This window comes from Homo sapiens, chromosome 16 (genome assembly GCF_000001405.40).
Source record: "Homo sapiens chromosome 16, GRCh38.p14 Primary Assembly".
NCBI lineage: Eukaryota > Metazoa > Chordata > Mammalia > Primates > Hominidae > Homo > Homo sapiens.
Window position 1 is genome coordinate 17291360 of NC_000016.10, and position 21234 is coordinate 17312593.

At 46.8% G+C, this 21234-nt stretch overlaps 1 protein-coding gene across 3 annotated transcripts in view, besides 3 other annotated features; it reads right to left on the reverse strand.

The window, feature by feature from the left end:
- The window catches only part of XYLT1 (xylosyltransferase 1), a 369192-nt gene that overhangs the window by 189591 nt on the left and 158367 nt on the right, over positions 1-21234 (reverse strand). The gene's annotated exons all lie outside the window — the stretch shown is intronic.
- Positions 5260-5534: a silencer, noted in NCBI's record as "fragment chr16:17390476-17390750 (GRCh37/hg19 assembly coordinates)". NCBI's record gives its function as "represses an EF-1alpha promoter that drives an FKBP-Casp9 reporter gene in an ReSE screen in K562 erythroleukemia cells {active_cell/tissue: K562}" and the evidence as "EXISTENCE:reporter gene assay evidence [ECO:0000049][PMID:32094911]".
- Positions 12055-12124: a silencer, noted in NCBI's record as "silent region_7235". NCBI's record gives its function as "represses an Ori minimal core promoter by ATAC-STARR-seq in GM12878 lymphoblastoid cells {active_cell/tissue: GM12878}" and the evidence as "EXISTENCE:reporter gene assay evidence [ECO:0000049][PMID:35858748]".
- Positions 14542-15042: an enhancer, noted in NCBI's record as "H3K4me1 hESC enhancer chr16:17399758-17400258 (GRCh37/hg19 assembly coordinates)". NCBI's record gives its function as "activates a minimal SCP1, AML or CMV promoter by ChIP-STARR-seq in primed H9 embryonic stem cells {active_cell/tissue: H9 hESC(primed)}" and the evidence as "EXISTENCE:reporter gene assay evidence [ECO:0000049][PMID:30033119]".

Consider the following 21234-nt stretch of genomic DNA (forward strand, 5'->3'; position numbering starts at 1 on the left):
ACCTGTGAGGTTGGCAGGCTGAGGTTATTTCCCATTACACAGATGTCGAAACTGAGGCCCAGGGGTCCTGCCCACTGTTACCCACCTGGTAGTGGCACAGTCAAGTATGAACAACAGATCCTGTGTGTCCAGCCCAGAACCAATAGAGGGGTTTGGATTTGGGTGGGGTGGAACACACCCACCTCAATTTTCCCAGCCTCTGTCTGTTCTAAGGCCAGAAATCCTCTGAGGCCCCTGAGCTGTGTTTTCCTAAAGCTCTGAAGGTCAAATACGGTGCTGAGGACCTCACACTTAGAATGTGCTGAGAAGGGGTACAGGAATGAAAGCTGCTGGCTTAAGTGAAAGACATATACAAAAAGACCTGGAAATTGTATTTTATCGCAATAGCTATTTATTCCTGCTGTTCGGTGTTACAAAAATGCCATGTTCCAAAAAGGCTTAAACAAAAGACACTGTTCCACTGACCAAAAATTAAACAGATAAAACACAGTGTGGGGACGAGGTGTGGTAAGGAAAGGAATGAAGAGAAAAGAATATGATAGGATGGCCAGGCACGGTAGCTGACACCTGTAATCCTAGCACTTAGGGAGGCCGAGACCTGTGGATCTCTTGACCCCAGGAGTTCAAGACCAGCCTGGGCAACATGGCAAAACATCGTCTCTACAAAAAAACCCATAAATAATTAGCCAGCTAGCCGGGCATGGTGGTGCCCACTAAACCATACACACACACACACACACACACACATATACACATATATATCTGTGTGTGTCTATATATATGTTTTTTGAAAGGTTCTAAATATTATATATATTATATATACATGATGGGAAATTCAATTTGCCACCAGAAGCATTTAAAATAATACCATAGGTTTTATGAGAGATATGACCTCTGTCTCTGAGCTTATGAGACATGTGAGAGATATGAATTGTCTTTGAGCTTCCTAGCAGGCAATGCAAAGAGGGAAACACAATTAGTTATTTGAATCTGTGTCACAGACGAGATTCCTCACTTCACAAAAAAAACTCTCCCATCTCTATTTTTTTCGTGTTATTATCTCTTGATTGTGTTCTGTTTCTCACATATCAGTTCCATCTCTGTATTTGCTGAGCTGATCTGTGTATCCAAAATGACCTGCTGTGCAGGGCTCTTCACAATAGCCCCTGAAATTCAGAGAGGCTGGCTGATGTGGATCCCTGTACAGCTCTGGTATAGTCAAGTGTTTATTTACTGAGCGTCACCTGAACAGACTGGCGATGAAGGAGAAGTTTAAAACCACTTTGGTAGGAGACGATGCCACCAGAATAGCAATGGGAAATGAAGCAGAGAAATCCCTGGCATTAAAGTTGAAGTGAATGAGAAAAGCACATTTGTGTTGACATCATCCCTGTTGGCCCACACATGGTCTTTCAGAAACACTTTCCTGCACAAAGTGGGGCACATGGGAATACAGAGGCCACTTCCTCACATCTCTCCACACTTTGCCCAGTCCCACGGTCAGGGATGAGACGTTCATCCACTTCATCTCAGCCCTGAGCACTAAGGGGGCCACAGTGGGCAGGGTCACTGTGTGGGAGCCTCAGGAACCAGGACTCTGGCACATGCTGGGCAGCTCCATGCAATGGAATTGTAAGCTGAGTTGGGCTCCCTGCAGGCATGGGAGCATTTCAGAGCCAAAATTCCCACCTGCAGCTACAAGCAAAGAGAGTGGAGGTCCTACTTTAGCTAACCCGTAAAGCGGGCACTTCCAAGAAGACTTTTACTGGAACTCTGTGCTAGAAGATTGGGAAGTTGATTCTCTGTCGGCTACCCCCACTGCTGCCTAGGGGTCCTGGAAGGTTGGGAGGGGAGGAGAGGTGACTGCAGGACAGGGTATCATGGCATCCCCGAGTTTACCTCCACCAAACACACCCAAAACCTCTGTTTAACACCCAACAACTAGTATTTAATTTTCATTCCGCTGACCTGGGAGCATCTCTCTAATGGAACTTCCACTTAGCATAGCCACTGAAGTTCCCCAGGGACAGTGGTACCAATTAAATAACGTGACACTTTGGAGGTGTAAAGCTATGTATTTACTCCCAAACCAGAGGCTTGGGTAGTTTTTAACATAAAGATTTTCTCCCTCCTTTTTTTTTTTTTTTTTTTTTTTTTTGAGACTGAGTCTCCTTCTGTAGTGCAGCGGCACAATCCTGGCTCACTGTAACCTCTGCCTCTTGGCTTCAAGTGATTCTCCTGTCTCAGCCTCCTGAGTAGCTGGGATTATAGGCACCCATCACCACACCCAGCTAATTGTTTGTAATTTTGGTAGCGACAAGGTCTTACCACGTTGCCCAAGCTGGTCTTGAACTCCTGAGCTCAAGTGATCCTCCCTCCTCGGATGCCCAAAGTGCTGGGGTTACAGGCGTGAGCCACCACGCCCGGCCAGAATCTCTCTCTTAAGAGTCACCACTAGTGCCCAATGTTTACTGTTCAGAAAGGTCATTGCCCAGCAGTTGCAGGCAAGAAACCCTGGACGCATCTTGGGGAAATGCATCTAAACAATGCAGAGCAGAAGACAGGAGGGGTTCATGCTCTGAGTACAGGCTCTGGGGTCAGAGAAGAATGGGTCCAGATCCCAGCTCCATGGCTGTGCAATCTTGAACAAGTTGCTTAACCACTCTGGGCCTCACTGTCCTCACCTGTAAAATAAGGTGTTCCTGAGGCATTAGGAATGCCCTGGGCGACTGTGCTGAGAATGCAGGAGCAGTTACAAGGCTAAGCAACTGTTCCTCTGAAGGGGTCCCCTGCTCAGCAGAGCCTCAAAATTTGGTCCTGTCTCTGCTTAGGGCTTTCTGACAAAGCAGAGTGGGGAAGGGAAAGGGAGGTTTCTGGAAAAGCCAGTGGCCAACTTCTGGGTACCGCGGACAGGTGGCAACACCTGTCCAAGGACCAGGCATCTCTCAGGCTGTTTCTAGGCTGCTCCACATGAGGGAGAAATGATGGGCTTTGCTGGCCAGCCCAACACCGTCAGAGGGCATGTTACTGCTCGAAAGTACAAAATAAGCAGAGTGCGCATAACTAAACACTATTTTTATCGTCTTTCCGCCACTCTCATGCCACAAGCAAGAGCTGCTGTGTAAGGGAGGGTGGCAGGGAGATGTTTATTCAGAGCATGGGGTGGCCTGAATACCAATGGGGCCAGTTGAGAGGCTGTGTTGTAAGGGCTTTTAGGGGACAGCACCCAGGAGAATCGCAGCCACCCTCAAGGCTGACCTAGGAGACAAAATTGCCTTCCTCCCCAAACTCAGCCCTGCACCCTGCTGCCCTGGGTGAGGACCTTATCTTTCCCCCACCTAGGAATCTGCAAGGGTATCTTTCCCTTAGCATCAGGAACAAAACTTACCCTCCAGCTCTGGGCAAGAAGGATCTGAAAATGACAGTTCTAGGGTCGTTTGGGGCAGGTACAAGCACCCTTATTCCTGGTGTCCAGACAGTGCATGGTGTAGGTATACAGCAGGTACTAGATGACAATTCCATAAAAGAAGTAACATCCAAGGGCTTGGGAGGCATCTACGAAGAATGGCAACAAAACCCTTGCCTTCACAGAACTTTATTCTAGCACAGGGACACAGAAAGATGACAGATATAACAAATAGTGCACAGAATAGGGTAGAAGAGAGAAGTCAGTGGTTAGGATGATGCAATGGGTGCATTTCTTAATAAGGTGGTCAAGGCAGGCTTTAGACTGAAAAGGTGAGGTATAAGCAAAGACTCCCAGTGGGTAAGTGAGCATGCTGCTTGGCTAACTGGGAAAAAGCATTTCGGGGACAGGGAAACTGCTGTGCAAAGGCCCTGAGGTGACAGCAAGCCTCACGTTGCTGGTGGAGACCAGCAAAGAAGCCAGGGTGGAGGAAGTAAAAGATGAAAAACAGAAGCTTAGGTCAGGAAGAAATGGGGGATAGATCAATAAAGCATTATAGAGCCAGGTTTTTGTTTTGTTTTGTTTTGTTTTGTTTTGTTTTGTTTTTGGAGACAGATTCTTGCCCTGTCACACAGGCTGGAGTGCAGTGGTACGATCTCGGCTCACTGCAACCTCCATCTCCCAGGTTCAAGCAATTCTCCCACCTCAGCTTCCAGAGTAGCCGGGATTACAGGTGTGTGCTGCCATGCCCAGACAATTTTTGTATTTTTAGTAGAGATGGGGTTTCACCAGGTTGGCCGGGCTGGTCTCGAACTCCTGACCTCAGGTGATCTGACCACTTTGACCTCCCAAAGTCCTGGGATTATAGGCGTGAGCCACCACACCCGACCCAAGAGCTATAGTTCTTAACTGGGTCAACTTGACCCACAGGGGACATCTTGCCATGTCTGGAGACATTTTTGTTGTCACACTTGGGGAAGGGGAATGCTACCAGCAACTAGTGGGTAGAGTCCAGAGATGCTGCTTAATATCCTGTAATGCACAGGACGACCCTCCACAACTAAGAATGATCTGGCCCCACATGTCAACAAGTTCAAATCTAGACCACTGTAAGGCCTCTGGCTTTTGCTCTGAATGAGCTGGGATTATTTGGTGAATGAATGAACCCCCTCTGTGCTTGCACTGATGATAACACAGACTGTAAATCTGGAGGTGTTTCATCTTCCTCCAAACCATTTCTCGCATTCATAGAGTAAGGAAGAAAGAAAAGACACCTTTTTTTTTTTTTTCTCCCTGCGCCAAAAGCACACAGTGGAACTCCTGGTTTTGAAATGTCCTATTTTATGTGGGACCTAAAAGGATGCCAACTGTCTTCTGGCCTAGTGACAACAAAAGTGACTTCTTGGAAAGCTGCGGTAACATGGAGGTGGCTAGGGAGCAGTCCAAGGGAACAAAACAAAACAAAACAAAACAAACCTAAACCAAACCATGTTTAGCAAGGCCTGGGGGGTGTTGGGGTACCACAGGAGGCAGGCTCAGCGCGTTTATCCCCATGTAAAGATTGCAGAGATGGGGCTGGGGCTTCGCGGGTGATTTTTTTAGTGCTTTCACCTCTAATCTCCAAATCCTAGCCCTGCTCCTTCCAGAAACCTACAGCCTTGCCTAAATTTTGTGTGGGTGATTAAAGCAGAGGACCCGATTCCCTGTTCCTGCCTCTCTGTTTGTGAATAATCAAAGGCTAATCAGCCAAGGCCCCAGGGGACAGGAAATTAGACGTGCAAGATACCAGAGAGGCTCTGAGAATAAAACTGCGAGGTGAATCTGACATCAATGCCAGCAGGGGTGTCTGGGCTCTGATGGGCAGGAGCGCAGAGCCCGGGGCCAACTGGGGACAAATCCGATTTCTCCAGGGCTCAGCTGACCTCTGGCTTACACCAAAGACAGAGAAGGACAGGCTGCAAGAATCTGGCTTTTCTCCATCAGCTCAGGGATCAGTCAAATCAAAGCATTAAGAATCCAGGGTGAACTCTGATATTAGCGAGGGCAAAGGGGATGTTCTCCAGACTGACACAAACCACCGGGGTTCAAATCCCCGCTCCTCCACTTCCTGGCTGTGTTACAGTCTAAGGTCTTTGAGTCTCAATTTCCTTATCTGTAAAATGGAATCAAATACAAATAATCAGGAATGACTTTCCGAGTTTCTTTTGGTAGAAGAGTGGAAATGAATGGAGAGGAGGAAGCAGAAGTACTATTTAGTGACTCTTGTGAGCTAGACATTGTGCTCAATGCTTTAGATTTATGTTTATCGAATTCTCCTAACAACTCAATGCAGTATTGGATATTCCATTTTCATATGAAAATGCTGAGGTCTCAAAGGATAAAGCACTTGCTTGAGTCAGGGAAATGAATCCCCTTTCCATCTGCCTCCAAATCCATGTTTTATTAGTAACACCACCCAACACAGAGCACTTTGAACTTCTCATGTGTACTGCCATGCTGGGTCCTTATAATATATATCAGCACGGGTGCAGTGGCTCACGCCTATAATCCCAGCACTCCAGGAAGCCAAGGCAGGAGGATCACTTGAGGCCAGGAGTTCGAGAACAGCCTGGGCAACAAAGTGAGACCCGCCCCCACCGACGGTGTCTCTAGGAAAAGTAAAAAACTTAGCTGGGTATCATGGAGAACGCCTGTAATCCCAGCACTCTAGGAAGCCAAGGCAAGATCACTTGAGGCCAGCGGTTCAAGACCAGCCTGGAGAACAAGTGAGGACCCCATCTCTAAAGAAAATGAAAAAAAAAAAAAAACTTAGCTTGGTATGGGGGCCCATGCCTATAGTCCTCACTACTCAGGAGGCTGAGGTGGGAGGATCACTTGAGCCTAGGAGGTCGAGGCTGCAGTGAGCCATGATCATGCCACTGTGCTCCAACCTAGGCCACAGAGTGAGACCTTGTCTCTATAAAACAAAACAAAAGGCCGGGCGCGGTGGCTCACGCCTGTAATCCCACCACTTTGGGAGGTCGAGGCGGGCAGATCATGAGGTCAGGAGATCGAGACCATCCTGGCTAACACGGTGAAACCCCGCCTCTACTAAAAATACAAAACATTAGCCGGGCGTGGTGGTGTGTGCCTGTAGTCCCAGCTACTCGGGAGGCTGAGGCAGGAGAATGGCGTGAACCCGGGAGGTGGAGCTTGCAGTGAGCCGAGATCGCGCCACTGCACTCCAGCCTGGGCGACGAGCGAGACTCCGTCTCAAAAAAAAAAAAAAAATTATTCCTGCCGAGGGAGCCAGTGTTAAGAGCTATCACGGCTCCATTCTACAGATGAGGAAACTGGAGCACATCCTGTAAGGTCTCACTTGCCAAAATTTTTGTCTCCAAGAGAAAACCAGACCCTCCCTTACAAAACAAGTCAAAATGAGTGTAAAATCGGTTCCGTCAGGTGACAGCCATGAGGAGACGGATGGTGTCACATCTAGTGGGGGCGAGGGAATGGGCTGGAGGTATAGTGTGTCCAGTTGCAGGACCAAAAAACCTTGGCCCATAACTAACGTTCCCTGCACAGCCACCCCATGCCACACGCAGAGCCCAGGAGATCTCATCTCATCTTCACAGCACGCCTGGTGGCGAGTGCCCTCACTGTTCCCATTTTACAGATGAGGAAGATGAGGCTCAAGGAGCTGACGTCATTTATACCACACTGCTATTGAGTGGAGGACTGCAGAGTTGAACCGGGTTGCTTAGCACCTTTCCTGCTGCTCTGAGGTCCCTTAAAGTCTCTGTGAAGCGTAAGGATGGGAGGTGGGAGTCCTGAAAAACTGGTCTACCTGCTGCTGTGCGAGATTGAGTTGGGACAGTCAGCTCTCCCCTCTCTGGCCTCAGTCTTCACCCGGCAGGGAAGGGGCTCCACTGAAGGTCCTTCAGCTCTGACCTCCTGTGCTGCTCTTCATAGACCGTCAGCTGCTGCTTCCTAATGCAAATGCTGTCACTTGCCTCAGGGCCTTTGCACTTGCTGTTCTCCAGGCCAGGAAAAATATCCGTCTGGATATCCTCATGGTTCACTCCTCAAGCAACTTGTCAGAGGACACGCCCTATGAGAGCCACCACCCCCTGCCCCATAGGCATTCCCCATTCCTCTAATTATGTTGCTCCTCAGGCCACGTATCACTCTCTGGGCTATTAAAGATTATAATTATAATCTACAATGTCTATTATTAATATGTATAATATATATTTGCTTATTGTCTGAATATATTCTATTTATATATAATATTATGTATTTGCCTATTGTCTAAATCTTCCAACTAGAACGCAAGCTACTTTTTTATGTCCCTTCAGTATGCACAAACCCTGGCACATGACAGGCATTGGGTAAATATTTGTGGAATGAATGCCTGGATGCATTAAATCCATTTCTGGGCACCTACTGCACTTAAGGCAGACGGGAAATGCACGTGGTTAACCCACCACCACCAGAGCATCCAGCTCCATGCCTTTATCAACCTGGCCACCATGTTTCATCAGCAAATGTGAATTGGGGGAAATAACAGAATGAAGAGGGGGTGGCAGTAAGCCCCAGCAGGCTTCAGGACCAGATAAAGGAGGCCAAAAGATTCCATTTGCACAAAATACCATGCAGCCCTCTCCATCCCGTTAACCCGCTCTTCCTCAAGGAACTTCCAGAACAAACTATTGCCAAACACCATTGAGTTTAATTACTCAGATGATATTAATAGTGCAGCCAGCTTTAATTACAGACGACGCTGCTGCACAGGGGCTAAAGACACCCTCTGAATTGCTAGCGTCCCTTCCACCTCGCTTCTCTAGCTGAGGTCGCCATATGTGGGAGTTGATTTAGCCTTGACTCTGCCATAGAGACTTACCAGCAAGCTTTAGGAGAAGAGAGGCTTTTTGTCCCCTGCAGAATTGAATGGGGGCCACTCATGCTAGATTTCCCTAACTGCCAGAACATAGCTCTTATATAATGAAGGCCCAGGAAGGTCTGCAGAATGAGACTGGTTCGAGTTCTTAGAGAAAAGTTTCAGAAAGACGAGGGACACAGGAAGGATTCTGCTTTTCCCCCATCCTGGTGGACATGAAGGACCCAGGATAAGCTATGATGCTGCTTTATTAACGACCCTTTTTCAAAGCACTGACCCCGGCAGCAGGAATGGAATCTGGCCGCCTAGGCTTTCTGTTAATGAGATGAGAACTGAAGTTCAAAAATAAACTGTGGGAAGCCTGGTAGGGAAATACCAGATGACAAGAGGATAATCTGGTGACCAAAGGCATAAAAGGTGGCGGGGGTGGGGAGCCCACAGCTAAATCAATAACCAGGTCGGGAGGAATTTGGGGGTCAAAAGAGTGGCTTAGCTGTTAAGAACATGGTGAAAACTGACCTTGGATGGCTCCGTAAGAATCTTAGCTTTGTGGAGATATTTTTGTGCCTCTGACAAAATGCTATCTTTTAAGAAGTGTGCACAGACTTCATTTCTAGGCATGTAACCTTCACATTTAACTTGCATTTAAGCAAAATGATATGCGTGTAGGGAGGATTGCTATGGCGAGTTTTTAATTGCCAAAGACTAGAAACCACTTCAGCCTCAGCAGTTGTGGTATGGTTAAATAAACCATGCTATGTGAATGCAAATGCAAAATAATGCAGCTATTTCTTTCTTTCATTCTTTCTTTTTTTTTTTTTTTTTTTTTTGAGATGGAGTCTTGTTCTGTTACCCAGTCTGGAGTGCAGCGGCACGATCTCGGCTCACTGAAACTGCTGCCTCCTGGGTTCAAGTGATTCTCCTGCCTTAGCCTCCCGAGTGGCTGGGGTTACAGGCACCTGCCACCATACCTGGCTAATTTTCATGTTTTTAGTAGTGACGGGGTTTCATCACCACCTTGGCCACGCTGGTCTGGAACTCCTGGGCTCAGATGACTGCCCACCTTAGCCTCCCAAAGTGCTGGAGTTACAGATGTGAACCACCGCGCCCAGCCTAATGCAGCTATTAAAAAGAATGGGGGCCATGATATATATACTGAACCAGAACAATCGATGAGCTAGATAGGTAAGCGACAAAAGCAAGACACAAAATAACACGTACAGTTTGCTGCTATAAGTTAGACTGTGCTTTAAGCACCGTCTAGAGCAATCCATAAGACAATTCAGATCCTTTCTCATTAGCTGTGCAACTCTGGGTATGTTACTTTACCTCTCTGGGCCTCCGTTCCTTTCTCTCTCAACTAGAGCTTTAATAGGAGTTAGTTTGTATATCTAAAGCACATATTCTCAATAGGGATGACTGTCACCCCCACCAAGCAAGCAAAATTTGGGGGAGTATATGTGTGTGAGAAAAAAAAAATCTTAGGCTGGGCACAGTGGCTCATACTTATAATCCCAGCACTTCGGGAGGCTGAGGCGGGTGGATTAGTTGAGGTTGGGAGTTTGAGACCAGCCTGGCCAACATGGTGAAACTCTGTCTCTACTACAAATATAAAATTAGCCAGGCATGGTGGCGGGCGCCTATAATCCCAGCTACTCAGGAAGCTGAGGCACGAAAATCCCTTGAACTCAGGAGGCAGTGGTTGCACTGAGCCAAGATTGCACCACTGTACTCCAGCCTGGGCAACACAACACAACTCTGTCTCAAAATAATAATAATAGTCTTAGATATTGCAATGGTCAGCCGTCCCCCAAAGCTCAACCCTATCTGATAAAATCTTTTCCCACAGTATTTAATTTCTCTCACAAGGGAGAATTTATATTAAATTAAATTTTTCTTCTTGGGAGGGTGATAATGAAAGAAAGTAATGCTTGAGTAATACTGAGCTAAAGTACTCAGAACAGCGTGAAGCAGATGGGGTGACATTTACCTTGCAATGTCGCTGCCAAGTTTAAATACAATAATAGATGCAAAGGCCACAGTGCGAAGGCGTTTCATCAGACTCCACCGCAACAACAGGTGGCGAATGCTAATATCAACTCTCACTTCTTAGATGAAGACTCGGAGGTTTACAAAAGTGGAAAGACTAGGCCAGAGGTCAGCATCTGAGCTGGAATTTTCACCTGGTCTCTCTCTCAGACTAAGAGCTTCCTCTTTATGCTCCAGTGGTGCTTGGAGACCACATGGTCTGTTTGTTCTGGTAGCTTCCCTAAAATACATGTCAGGGCTCGGCACAGTGGCTCATGCCTGTAATCTCAGCACTTTGGGAGGCCAAGGTGGGCGGATCATTTGAGGTCAGAAGTTCAAGACCAATCTGGCCAACATGGTGAAACCCCATCTCTACTAAAAATGCAAAAATTAGCCAGGCGTGGTGGCATACACCCTAGCTACTCAGGAGGCTAAGATGGGAGAATTGCTTGAACCCACCAGGTGGATGTTGCAGTGAGCCAAGATTGTGCCACTGCACTCCAGCCTGGGTGACAGAGCAAGACTCGATCTCAAAATACTACTACTACTACTACTACTAATAATAATAATAATAAAAAAATACATGTCGAGGTCAACCCAGGCCCAGGTACCAGGATGTGTCCTTACTCTGCTGAGTATCAGCATAAGATGTCGAGTCTAGACCAGGGGACACCGTCGTAGCAGACAGCCATGAATACCTCATCCTGTCTGCTGTTAGCAAGCTGCAAAGCCTGCTGGTCCTTCCTCTTCCTCCTCTTGTGAGGCCCTCTGGAGAAATTTCCATCTGAACTGAGCACTGAGAACAGATCCACCTGCCATGAGCAATGGCCTGTGTCAATTATTTGGATACAGGGCAGTGGAAGGGACAGATTTGTTTTCCTTGATGGCAGCCAGAAAGCTCTTTGTCAAATCTCCAGTTCCCCACCATGGTGTAGGTGTTAATACCTATTCCAGCTCCAAGGTATGATGGTCCTATGGTTGTGTTTCCTTTCTTTGTCTCAGTTTTAATTTTTGCAGTCTTATTTTGTTTAGTACACCCATGCAGACTGCCATAAACCCTTCCTGAAAGAGGGATGGGTGTAAAGAGATGAATCAACAAACCACAGAACTTCAAAAGGTTCCAGAAAAAAGCCACCACTGGCACAATAACGGGTTACTCAATCCCCCAAGGCTTTTGAGGAAGACTAGGGAAGGAAGGGGTTGACCTTGGGTCTAGAATGGGTGAGGGGGAGAGAAAAGAGAAAGCGAGAGAGAGCTAGCAAGTGAGCACACATGTGACCGTGAGCTTAATGCAAGGGGATAAGCTGGGGTAGGGTTGGCAGTATGGGTAGGGAAGGGGAGTACATGGGAAAGGAAAGGGGAGGACTGGAGCTTCAGTCGTGATGGATCTTGAAAGACAGACCACTCACTGATTCCTTGGTTTACTCATTCATTCATTCAAGAACTACCATGTGCAAAGAATTGGGCTCCCTGCATGAGATACAATGATGTAAAAAATAATGACGTGGTTCCTGCCCTCATGGAAATCATATTTAGTTCAGGGGTTGGCAAACTACAGCTTTAAGACCAAATCTGGCCTGCAATCCTCTTTTGCGAACCAAAGTTTTATTGGTACACAACCACTCCCGTTCATTTGCATATTATCTACAGCTACTGTACAGCCACGCTGGCAGAACTGCTTAGCGGTGACAGAGCCCATGTGGCCAGCAAAGGCTCAGATATTTACTAATCTATCTGGTCCTCTACAGACAGTTTGCACACTTCTGCTTTAGCTGCTATTACTGTTGCTGTTGCATATTATTTGTGAGCATATAAAAATGTTTCCAATAAACAAAGAGACATGTTGATGCCCCCGTGAGTCCCCAGTTTTCTCTGCCATAAAACTGGCATAAGAGGGCCATTGTGAGGGTTCTAGGAAAAGCTCTAAGAAATAAGCCCAGAACACAGACACCTACAATCCTTTTACATTTTCATTACTAATGATATTACAATGGCTGGGAGTAAGAGGAGGAATCATTTCACGCCACATGTCTGTCTTTAAAACACATTCAGCCTTTTCACTCTGATTCTAGAAACAGGTATGATTAGTTGATCAATGGGACCTCAATCTAGACAATCCAGGCATTTGACCACATTCTCCTGATTTTTCAGATGAAGATTTTTTTTCCCATCATTTTGACATTTCTGGAACTGAGGCTTATCTTATAAACACTGTGTACATATGATTTATTAATTTGTATTTGTTAAGAGCAAATGATGTGGCAGACACACAAGATACAGGAACAAAATACATATGTGAGCAATGCATGTGTGTATATACATGTGCGTGTGTGTGTGTGTGTGTACAGGTGCATGCAGATATATATGATAGTTCATAAGACATCAATTTATGCTAACGTTGGAAGGTAAGAAGGCATAATTTATGCTTATGTTGGAAGGTAAGAAGGCAGTAACACCTTAAAGTCTGTCAGTTGGTAATAACCATCGTGGTGAAGGGAAAAAAAAGTAGATCAGAGGAACAGAGGAGAGCAGCAGTTTGCAATTTTCAGAGCAATGGCTGGGATAGCATTCCTCCCAAAATGACCTTTGATCAAAGACCAGAGGCAGGTGAGGAGCAGATGTGCTGGAATTCTGGCTTCAGGCACAGGTAAGGGCAGGTGCAAAGATGACTATCTCTGTCAGTGTGTCTTTTTTTCCCCCTCCTTCCTCCCCAAAGCTGTTGCCAACACAATACTGTCCTCCAGTCACAGAAATGCTGTATGTGGATGGTATAAGCATGCTGCGAAAAAATGCTGCAGGGATTTGGACCATTTGGACCGCGCAGGGGAGGGTGTTAAAGTGATTGTAACATGTTTTATTTCAGCTAGTTCTTCAAGCTCAGCTCCTTTGAAATAGCTGACATGTTTTCTTGGCCCTCAACCTGCTGTAAGCCTACGTCCAAAAGCGTCATATGTCAACAACCTGGTAAATCCACAGTTAAGATTTTTTTTTTCCCACAAAAAGTCATGGGAACCAAACAGGCTCTGACCAAAGTTGCTGGACCAGTTAAACCACTACCAGTTACTTCTTTGCCCACGGTGAGTAAGGCTGCTTGGGAAGGTAACCTATTTTCTCTGAATACTCTCAAAGCATTCAAGATAAATATATCTATTCATTTGTATATCCCCCAACTTGGCACAGATGAGGCCTTGGGTTTGGATAGTAAAATTTAACACTACCCTATGACATTTCAATGCTAAGTTTCTTGGCAAACTCACCAAGATTGCAGCTGTAGGCCCAGAAAGAAAGGGTGACAGCTTCCAGATGGCACAGGAATGATCTGGAAGTCCTTGCATGTTTATAGCACCACTCAGTGCCGCAGGGTGCCCACTGTGGGCCGGGGGTCATGTTTAATTTCACTAACTCCTGATGATGAGCCTGCATCATCTCCCTATTGTACAAAGGAGGCGACAGAGGTTCAGCAAAGTGCTGACTGCAAAGCCATCCCAGTTCCCCAAATCAGGATGCCCCCTTGTCTTGACCACCCAGGACAGGATGGGAGTCATTCTCCAACTTAGATTCCAGTTCATGTGTCCAATGTGAGCCTAAGACTACAGTAACTAATCTCACTACTTTCCCTATCTAGTTTCCAAAACAAAATGTCCTCTGGATAAGAGCGAACAGCAGAATGGAGTTTGTGTGTATGTGTGTGCAGCTTTAGTTTTCTTAATATTTACATATAATACAGAATACCTTCTTCTTCTTCTTTTTTTTTTTTTTTTGAGATGGAGTCTCACTCTGTCACCCAGGCTGGAGTGCAGTGGTGCGATCTCGGCTCACTGAAACCTCCGCCTCCTGGGTTCAAGCGATTCTTCTGCCTCAGCCTCCCGAGTAGCTAGGATTACAGGCATGCACCACCACGCCCAGCTAACTTTTGTATTTTTAGTAGAGACAGGGTTTCACCATGTTGGCCAGGGTGGTCTCGATCTCCTGACCTCATGATCCCTCCACCACCGCCTCCCAAAGTGCTGGGATTATAGACGTGAATACCTTCTTTCTTAACAGCATTAAACAGACGAAGTATTGCTCGACTAAGCATTTGTAACTATAAGGACCCGGCAAACCCCAGACTCTGACTTCCGGAGAACTTTATTTCCACATGAAAAGAGCCCACACATGTTAGAAACAGTCAGTCCTGTGTTCAGATTCCCCTTCCCCTGACACCGCCGTGGTGGGGAGTCCCTGTGGGGGCAGTCACTTCTTTCTTCTAACCTGAGTCTGACTCATCCTCTCACTCCTCTGGCTAAGGACAGGAAGGGACAGTACCCTCTGAGAACCTGCTGAGAACTGCTGTGATGTCCCTTCCCTGACCCAAACAGAAGGAGGTACCCCTGAAAAGGAGACAGGATTAAAAAGCCAACCCAGAGAGCCTCTGGGTGCCAAAGGACTGCCGAAGCTCTTTACCCTCCCTCTGTATGTGGAAATTTCAGGGTAACTTACCAAGTGCTTTCTTCTCTTAGGAGCCACAGTCTGTGTGTACTCAGATTGGGAGAATGCAAATATAAGCGGTTGGGAGAGGGAAAAAGAACAAGAGAATAGGAGCGAGAACATTGGGAGAGAGAGAACAAGAGACAGATAATAAATGAGAGGAGAAAAATTCGAGCTACACACCATTTTCACCCTATATACTGACTTTGAAGCCTTAAGGTCAGCCAGGCACAGTGGCTCACGCCTGTAATCCCAGCGCTCTGGGAGGCCGAGGCAGGCGGCGCGCATGTGTATACTCCAAGCTACTCTGGAGGCTGAGGCAGGAGAATGGCTTGAACCCAGGAGGCAGGGGCTGCAGTGAGCTGAGATCACACCACTGCACTCCAGCCTGGGTGACAGAGTGAGACTGTCACAAAAGATATATATATATATATATATTCCCTCTAAGTCTAAGTAAGATACAATTCCTCTATACGTGTGTGTTTCACTTTATGCAGCAGACAGACTTCCAAAAAACTGGATATGAATAAATTTCTTAAAATCTTTTTATATACATGAAAAGTCACAACTTTAAGGTACCCCATTCATGAGGACATGAATCCTTTGGTAAGATTAAACATCCAAATTCCTAGAAATATATCCCCTTGGGAATTTTGAGTTTCCTAGTCTTGAATGTCCTTACATTCATGAAGTCAAAAGGGTATTAGAGGCATCTCTTCCAGCCCCTTCACTATGCAGAGGAAGAATCTGAGGCCCAGAGAGGCAGGGTGACTTGCCCAAGGTCACACAGCTAGAGTGAGTCAGAGCTGAAGCCTGAACTTGGGAGTGTAGTCTCTGTAGAGGTGCACGTACTGGCGGTTACTCACTTGTGCTACCTGAAATAAATGGACCTGAGAATCTGGTAGTTATATGAGCCTGCAGTTTTGTGGGGTTTTTGTTGTTGTTGTTGTTGTTGTTGAGACGGAGTCTCACTCTACTGCCCAGGCTAGAGTGCAATGACATTATCTCAGGTCACTGTAACCTCCGCCTCCCGGGTTCAAGCAATTCTCCTGCCTCAGCCTCCTGAGTAGCTGGGATTATAGGTGTAGACCACCACGCCCAGTAATTTTTACATTTTAGTAGAGATGAGGTTTCACCATGCTGGTCAGGCTGGTCTCGAACTCCTGACCTCGTGATCGGCCCGCTTCGGCCTCCCAAAATGTTGGGATTATAGGCATGAGCCACCATGCCTGGCCGAGTCTGCAGTTTTAATGCCTTATTTTCTGGAAGTCAAAACTGTATTACTGAGGTGTTTCTCTTTTTCATTACAGGAGTCATCTCTATTTTATTTATATTTTGCAGTGAAATGATTTAAATCAAATGTGCTTGGGTGCAGAGGAAATCTGATCTGAAAGAGAGTTTTTATGGCAGAGAGAGAGCCAGCAGATACTTATTTCCTGCCTTGAAGAGGCCAGTAACATCCTGGTACAAGGGGATTCATCAATACATCTTTCATAAGAGGGCTTCTCTGCACAGTGAGCTGGAAAATCTTTCCAATGACTCTGGCCCATTTGTAACTTTGCCCCTGAATAAAAGAAGGGATTGATCGGGGCTTGGAATGCTTCCATACCCAGGGCCTTCCTGCACCCCAGGAGGCAGAGTCTATAAATGGAATTCAACTGGGCAATTGCTCATGGAGAGAAAACCCAGCAGGGGTAAGCACAGCCTCTAAGGAGAGGGCAGTGAAGGGTTAAAGGTGCACCACCTTCCTCTGCTGGGGTCTGCAGAGGGACTGATGCCTGGAAGTCTCTAAAATAAAGAGTCTCAAAAATAGTCAGAGAGACTTGCTATTGGGTATTCTATGGACTGCAGATCCATTCCCCACTCTCCATGATCTGCAGTGTATGCTGGTGGTGGGATATACCCTCAGTGTGTCCATCAGTCAGTCAGTTGGCATTTCTCAAGATCTACAATGAACCAAAGCAGAGTGAGAGAGCTTGAAGGCTTCGTAACATGGCAAAGGGGCACGGAGAATTGAAAAGTATGTCCAGTTCCTGTAGACACATCCCACAACCCCAACCTCCCAAGATGGTGCCAGTAAGCTTTCTGTTGGGTGAGAGACCAGGAGACCTGAGCTCCACCCTGGACCCTGCCACTTAAGTTAGCAGCTCTTAGGGAACTGATTTCTCCCTTTGGGCCTCAAAAGCATGTCCAAGTTGACTAAGCCTGCTTTAAAAGTTACTTGGAGAAGTGCTGAGATGATTAAATAAGGACAGAGTCCAACACCAGGCACAGGACAGGCCCTGAATGAAGAGATTACTTCCCTTCTCCTTAGAACCTTTCCTCTCCTCACCCAGCTCCCTGTAAGGTGAAGATACAGCTCTATCTACAAAGAACGGTCACTTCTCTCTTCCTTTCTCTAGGGTGGTTTGGGTTCAAAGACGGAAACTGTATTTGCACCCTTGCAAGCTGGTTCGGTCCACACTTGCTTTCCTACCCAAAGACCACCACAATCCCTAGCTTCTTTAGAACTTCCTTGGCATGTGAACTTGAACAATACCCTACTCTTCTCCAAGACCCAGTTTCAGGGTAAATGGGATTAGAAAACCTAATTTAGTCAGAGTTGCTATGAAGATTAGAAATCAATAGGTTTCCCAGTACCTGACACATGGTAGATGCCCAATAAATGAAATTTATTATTTTCTGCAAGGAAAATAACATCTATCTCCTCTAATTGTCATGAGGATTAGAAGTAAAATACAAAGAGCATTTAGCGCAGTGTCTGGCGCAAAATAGCGGATACTGTATACATCTTGGTTGATGGAGACAAAAGATCAAAAGAGGAACGTAAACGTGAGCAAAAGCAAAAAATAAAAATAAAAAAAAAAGGTTCAAGGAAAAACAAACGTCTAGCCCAGAGCCTAGCAATCAGAGAGAGCTAGAAAGATATGCGCCTAATGCAAAGTAGGAGAGGTGGAAAGGCGGCTCAGAGACACGCAAGGGTCTACAACACAGTTTCTCAACCTTGACACTGCTGACATTTTGGGCTGGATCATTCCGTCTTGGGTGAGTGCTGTCCTATGCAGTGTAGGATGTTGAGCAGCATCCTTGGCTCTACCCACTAGATGCCAGTAGCATCCGTCCCCCGTAGTTGTAACAACTAAAAAAATGTCTCTGGACATTGCCAAATGTCCCTTGGGGAGGCCTAATTACCCCCAGTTGAGAGTTGCTAGTCTAAAATAGTGTCTGACACACCGTGGGTCCTCACTCAGCAAATACTTGTTGAAAGAAGGCAGGGATGGAGGGGAGAGGGATCAACGCTGACCACCCCATACCTGGGTAGGGCAAGCCCTCTGGCTTGCCTGGGCTGCTTCAGCCATAATGAACGGGTGGGAGGGAGGCTCTTCATGGACATGCATCAGCTTGGTTTCTCTGAAACAGGAGGGTGTTCCTAGAGTGTACTGTCTGTGCTGTGCCTTGTTAAGAGGGGAAATTTTCCAAGAACCTATTTTTCCAGCGCTGCAGATTTCACGTGGATATGGCCTTAAACATCCACAACCCTGAACCTGCATCTCATTCCTCTGCCTTCAAAGGGATTCTTTGGAAGCACTTCTTGTCCCAAATGGTTTAATGCCTTTATTTTGCGAATGAGCCATTGCAGTCAAGAAGATTAACAGGGTTAAGATGTGTGCTTGTGGTTCTGGGCTTAGTGGTGGAAAAATCATGCTTCTTGCTTGTGAACTTAACCTTTTGGTGGATGGTGAGAAAGGCTATGTGGGGAGTGAAATAAAATGCATAGGTCACGGGGGTAGGGGCCCCAGGGGCCAGGGGTGGCAGGGAAGAGATGCCGTGTGTGCTCAAAGGCAGCTCAATTTGGAGGCTGGGAGTGGGAACACATCATCCCTGTAAAGATGGGATCAGATTGAAACTTCTGGGACCTGATTTCAGGAATGAGCTGCAACAAAATGCCCGCACACTTCTTGAACACCTTCCTTTTCCTCCCCAGCTAAAATCCTTTCCTGATTCCTCAGTCTCCCTTGGGTTCATTCACTTCCCTCCAGCCCTACTTTTCCCCTCTTGCTTCTGGGCAGTATCTTTAGCCATTACCAGGTTTTCACTCACACCAGGACCTTTGCACATGCCACTTCCTCTTGCTAAATTAATCTTCATTCCATTTACACTTCTTCCTTTCAGCTTAAATGTCACTTCCCCGGGGAAAGGCTCCTGTTCCCTTTGGGTCAAGACTCACAGTCATACAGTCTCCGTACACTGGGAATTTAATCCCATTTCACTTATCACAGTCCCACTCAGTGACTGGCATCTGTCCCCACCAGATAGTGATGTGGCCTGAGAGCAGGAATTGCATCTTCTGCTCAATAATGTGCCCTCCTCCTACTCAGGGTCAGTAAACATCTGTGGAATAAGTAAGTGCATAAATGGGGAAAAGGCAGGCCCGGCGCAGTGGCTCATGCCTGTAATCTCAGCACTTTGGGAGGCCAGGGCAGGTGGATCATGAGGTCATGAGTTCAAGACCAGCCTGGCTAACATGGCGAAACCCCATCTCTACTAAAAATACAAAAATTAGCCAGGCGTGGTGGCACACACCTGAAATCCTAGCTACTAGGGAGGCTGAGGCAGGAGAATCACTTGAACCTAGGAGGCAGAGGTTGCAGTGAGCCGAGATCGTGCCACTGCACTCTAGCCTGGATGACAGAGCAAGACTCCATCTCAAAAATAATAATAATAAAGGAGAGAAGGAAGAGAGAGCTTTGTTCCGAGTGTAGACAAAGAGGGTTTCTTTCAGGGGTCATGTCCCACAGCTCCATTCCCAGACACCATTAGAATAAAACACAGCATGGTGTCAGAGCACGGAGAAAAAGGTGAACTTCCTTCTGCCTCCTTTCCAGCTCACACGCATCTTGTTTCCAGCCCCAAACTTGATGAAGATGGGGCTCCCTTCCTTGCCTTCAGCCCAGGATAATCACCTGCTGCAAATTTACCCGGTGTTTAAATTGTAACAGCAAGTCACCAAGCTCTTATTGTCACAGTAGCAGAAGGGGTTACATCAGAGTAGAAGATGTGGACCTTGGCCTCAAGGAGCCCAGCAGTATCAGCACTCAGGAGCTGGTTAGAAATGCAGACTCCCAGGCCCCACCTCAGATGGGCTGAATTAGAACCTGCATCTTAACTAGGTCCTCTGGTTCATGTGAGCAGCCTCGTGGGCTGCTCATGGGCTTCAGTAGCCTGCTCATCAGAATCATCTGGAAGATTTGTTAAACTACAGATTGCTAGAGCCCTGCCTTCACCCCCAGTATGTGATTCCAAGAGTCTGGGGGTGGCAGGTGAAGGTGCGTTTCTTTCCATTTCCCATGTGATGCAGCTGCTGTTGGTTCAGGACCACGCTTCGAGAACAGCTGCCCTACTGCTCAGACCCAGGCACACAGCTTAGTTTCCAGCCAGATCCATGGGACTGTGGGTGAATTCCTTCCTTCTTCAACAACGTTGATGCTGATTTCATGCTGTTTGTGCAACTTAGGCAGTAAAAAGTTTCCTTTCCCCCTTGTGTGTATTAGTCTGTTTTCACACTGCTGATAAAGGCATGCCCGAGACTGGGTAATTTATTAAGAAAAATAAGTTTAATGAACTCACAGTTCCAAGTGGCTGGGGAGGCCGCACAATCATGGTGGAAGGCAAAAGGCACGTCTTACATGGCAGCAGGCAAAAGGAAAATGAGAGCCAAGCAAAAGGGGTTTCCCCTTATAAAACCATCAGATCTCATGAGACTTATTCACTACAATGAGAACAATATAGGGGAAACTGCCCCGATGATTCAGTTATCTCCCACTGGGTCCCTCCATGGAGGGAGGGAATTATAGGAGCTACAATTCAAGATGAGATTTGGGTGGGGACACAACCAAACCATATCAATGGGGGTTTAAGCAGAGGTCTGAGGCCCAGAAAGGCCTTCTAGAAGAGTCAAGGTGTGAGCTGGAGGATGAAAAAGAGCTTGCCGACAGACAAGAGGAAGAGGGGCGTTCTAGACACACAGCACTGCCCAAGCCAAATGAAGCAGGCGTGAAGCCAGGCACGCCCAGGGGGTGACTCATCTGCTGTGCCCAGAGCTCAGGCCAGGTAGGAGGGAGATCCAGGGGAAGGGTAGGGCCTGGAGATCACAGAAGTTCTGCCTCCTGTTACCTGTAAGATCCCTGCTGGCATAGTACTGTGAAGGACTCAATGAAACATCCCTGAAATCCTCATGATCATCAGGGCTGGCATTCCTGTAGCGCTTACCATGTATGGGGTCTTGTCTCAGGGCCTTACCCGCATTAACATGTTTTTCTTTCTAACTTAAAAAAATAATAATTATAGACTCACAGGAGGTTGCCAAGATAGCAGAGTTCTGCACTCCCTCACCCAGCTTCCCCCAATGGTGACATCTTATGTAACTGCAGTGCAATATTAAAACCAGGCAATT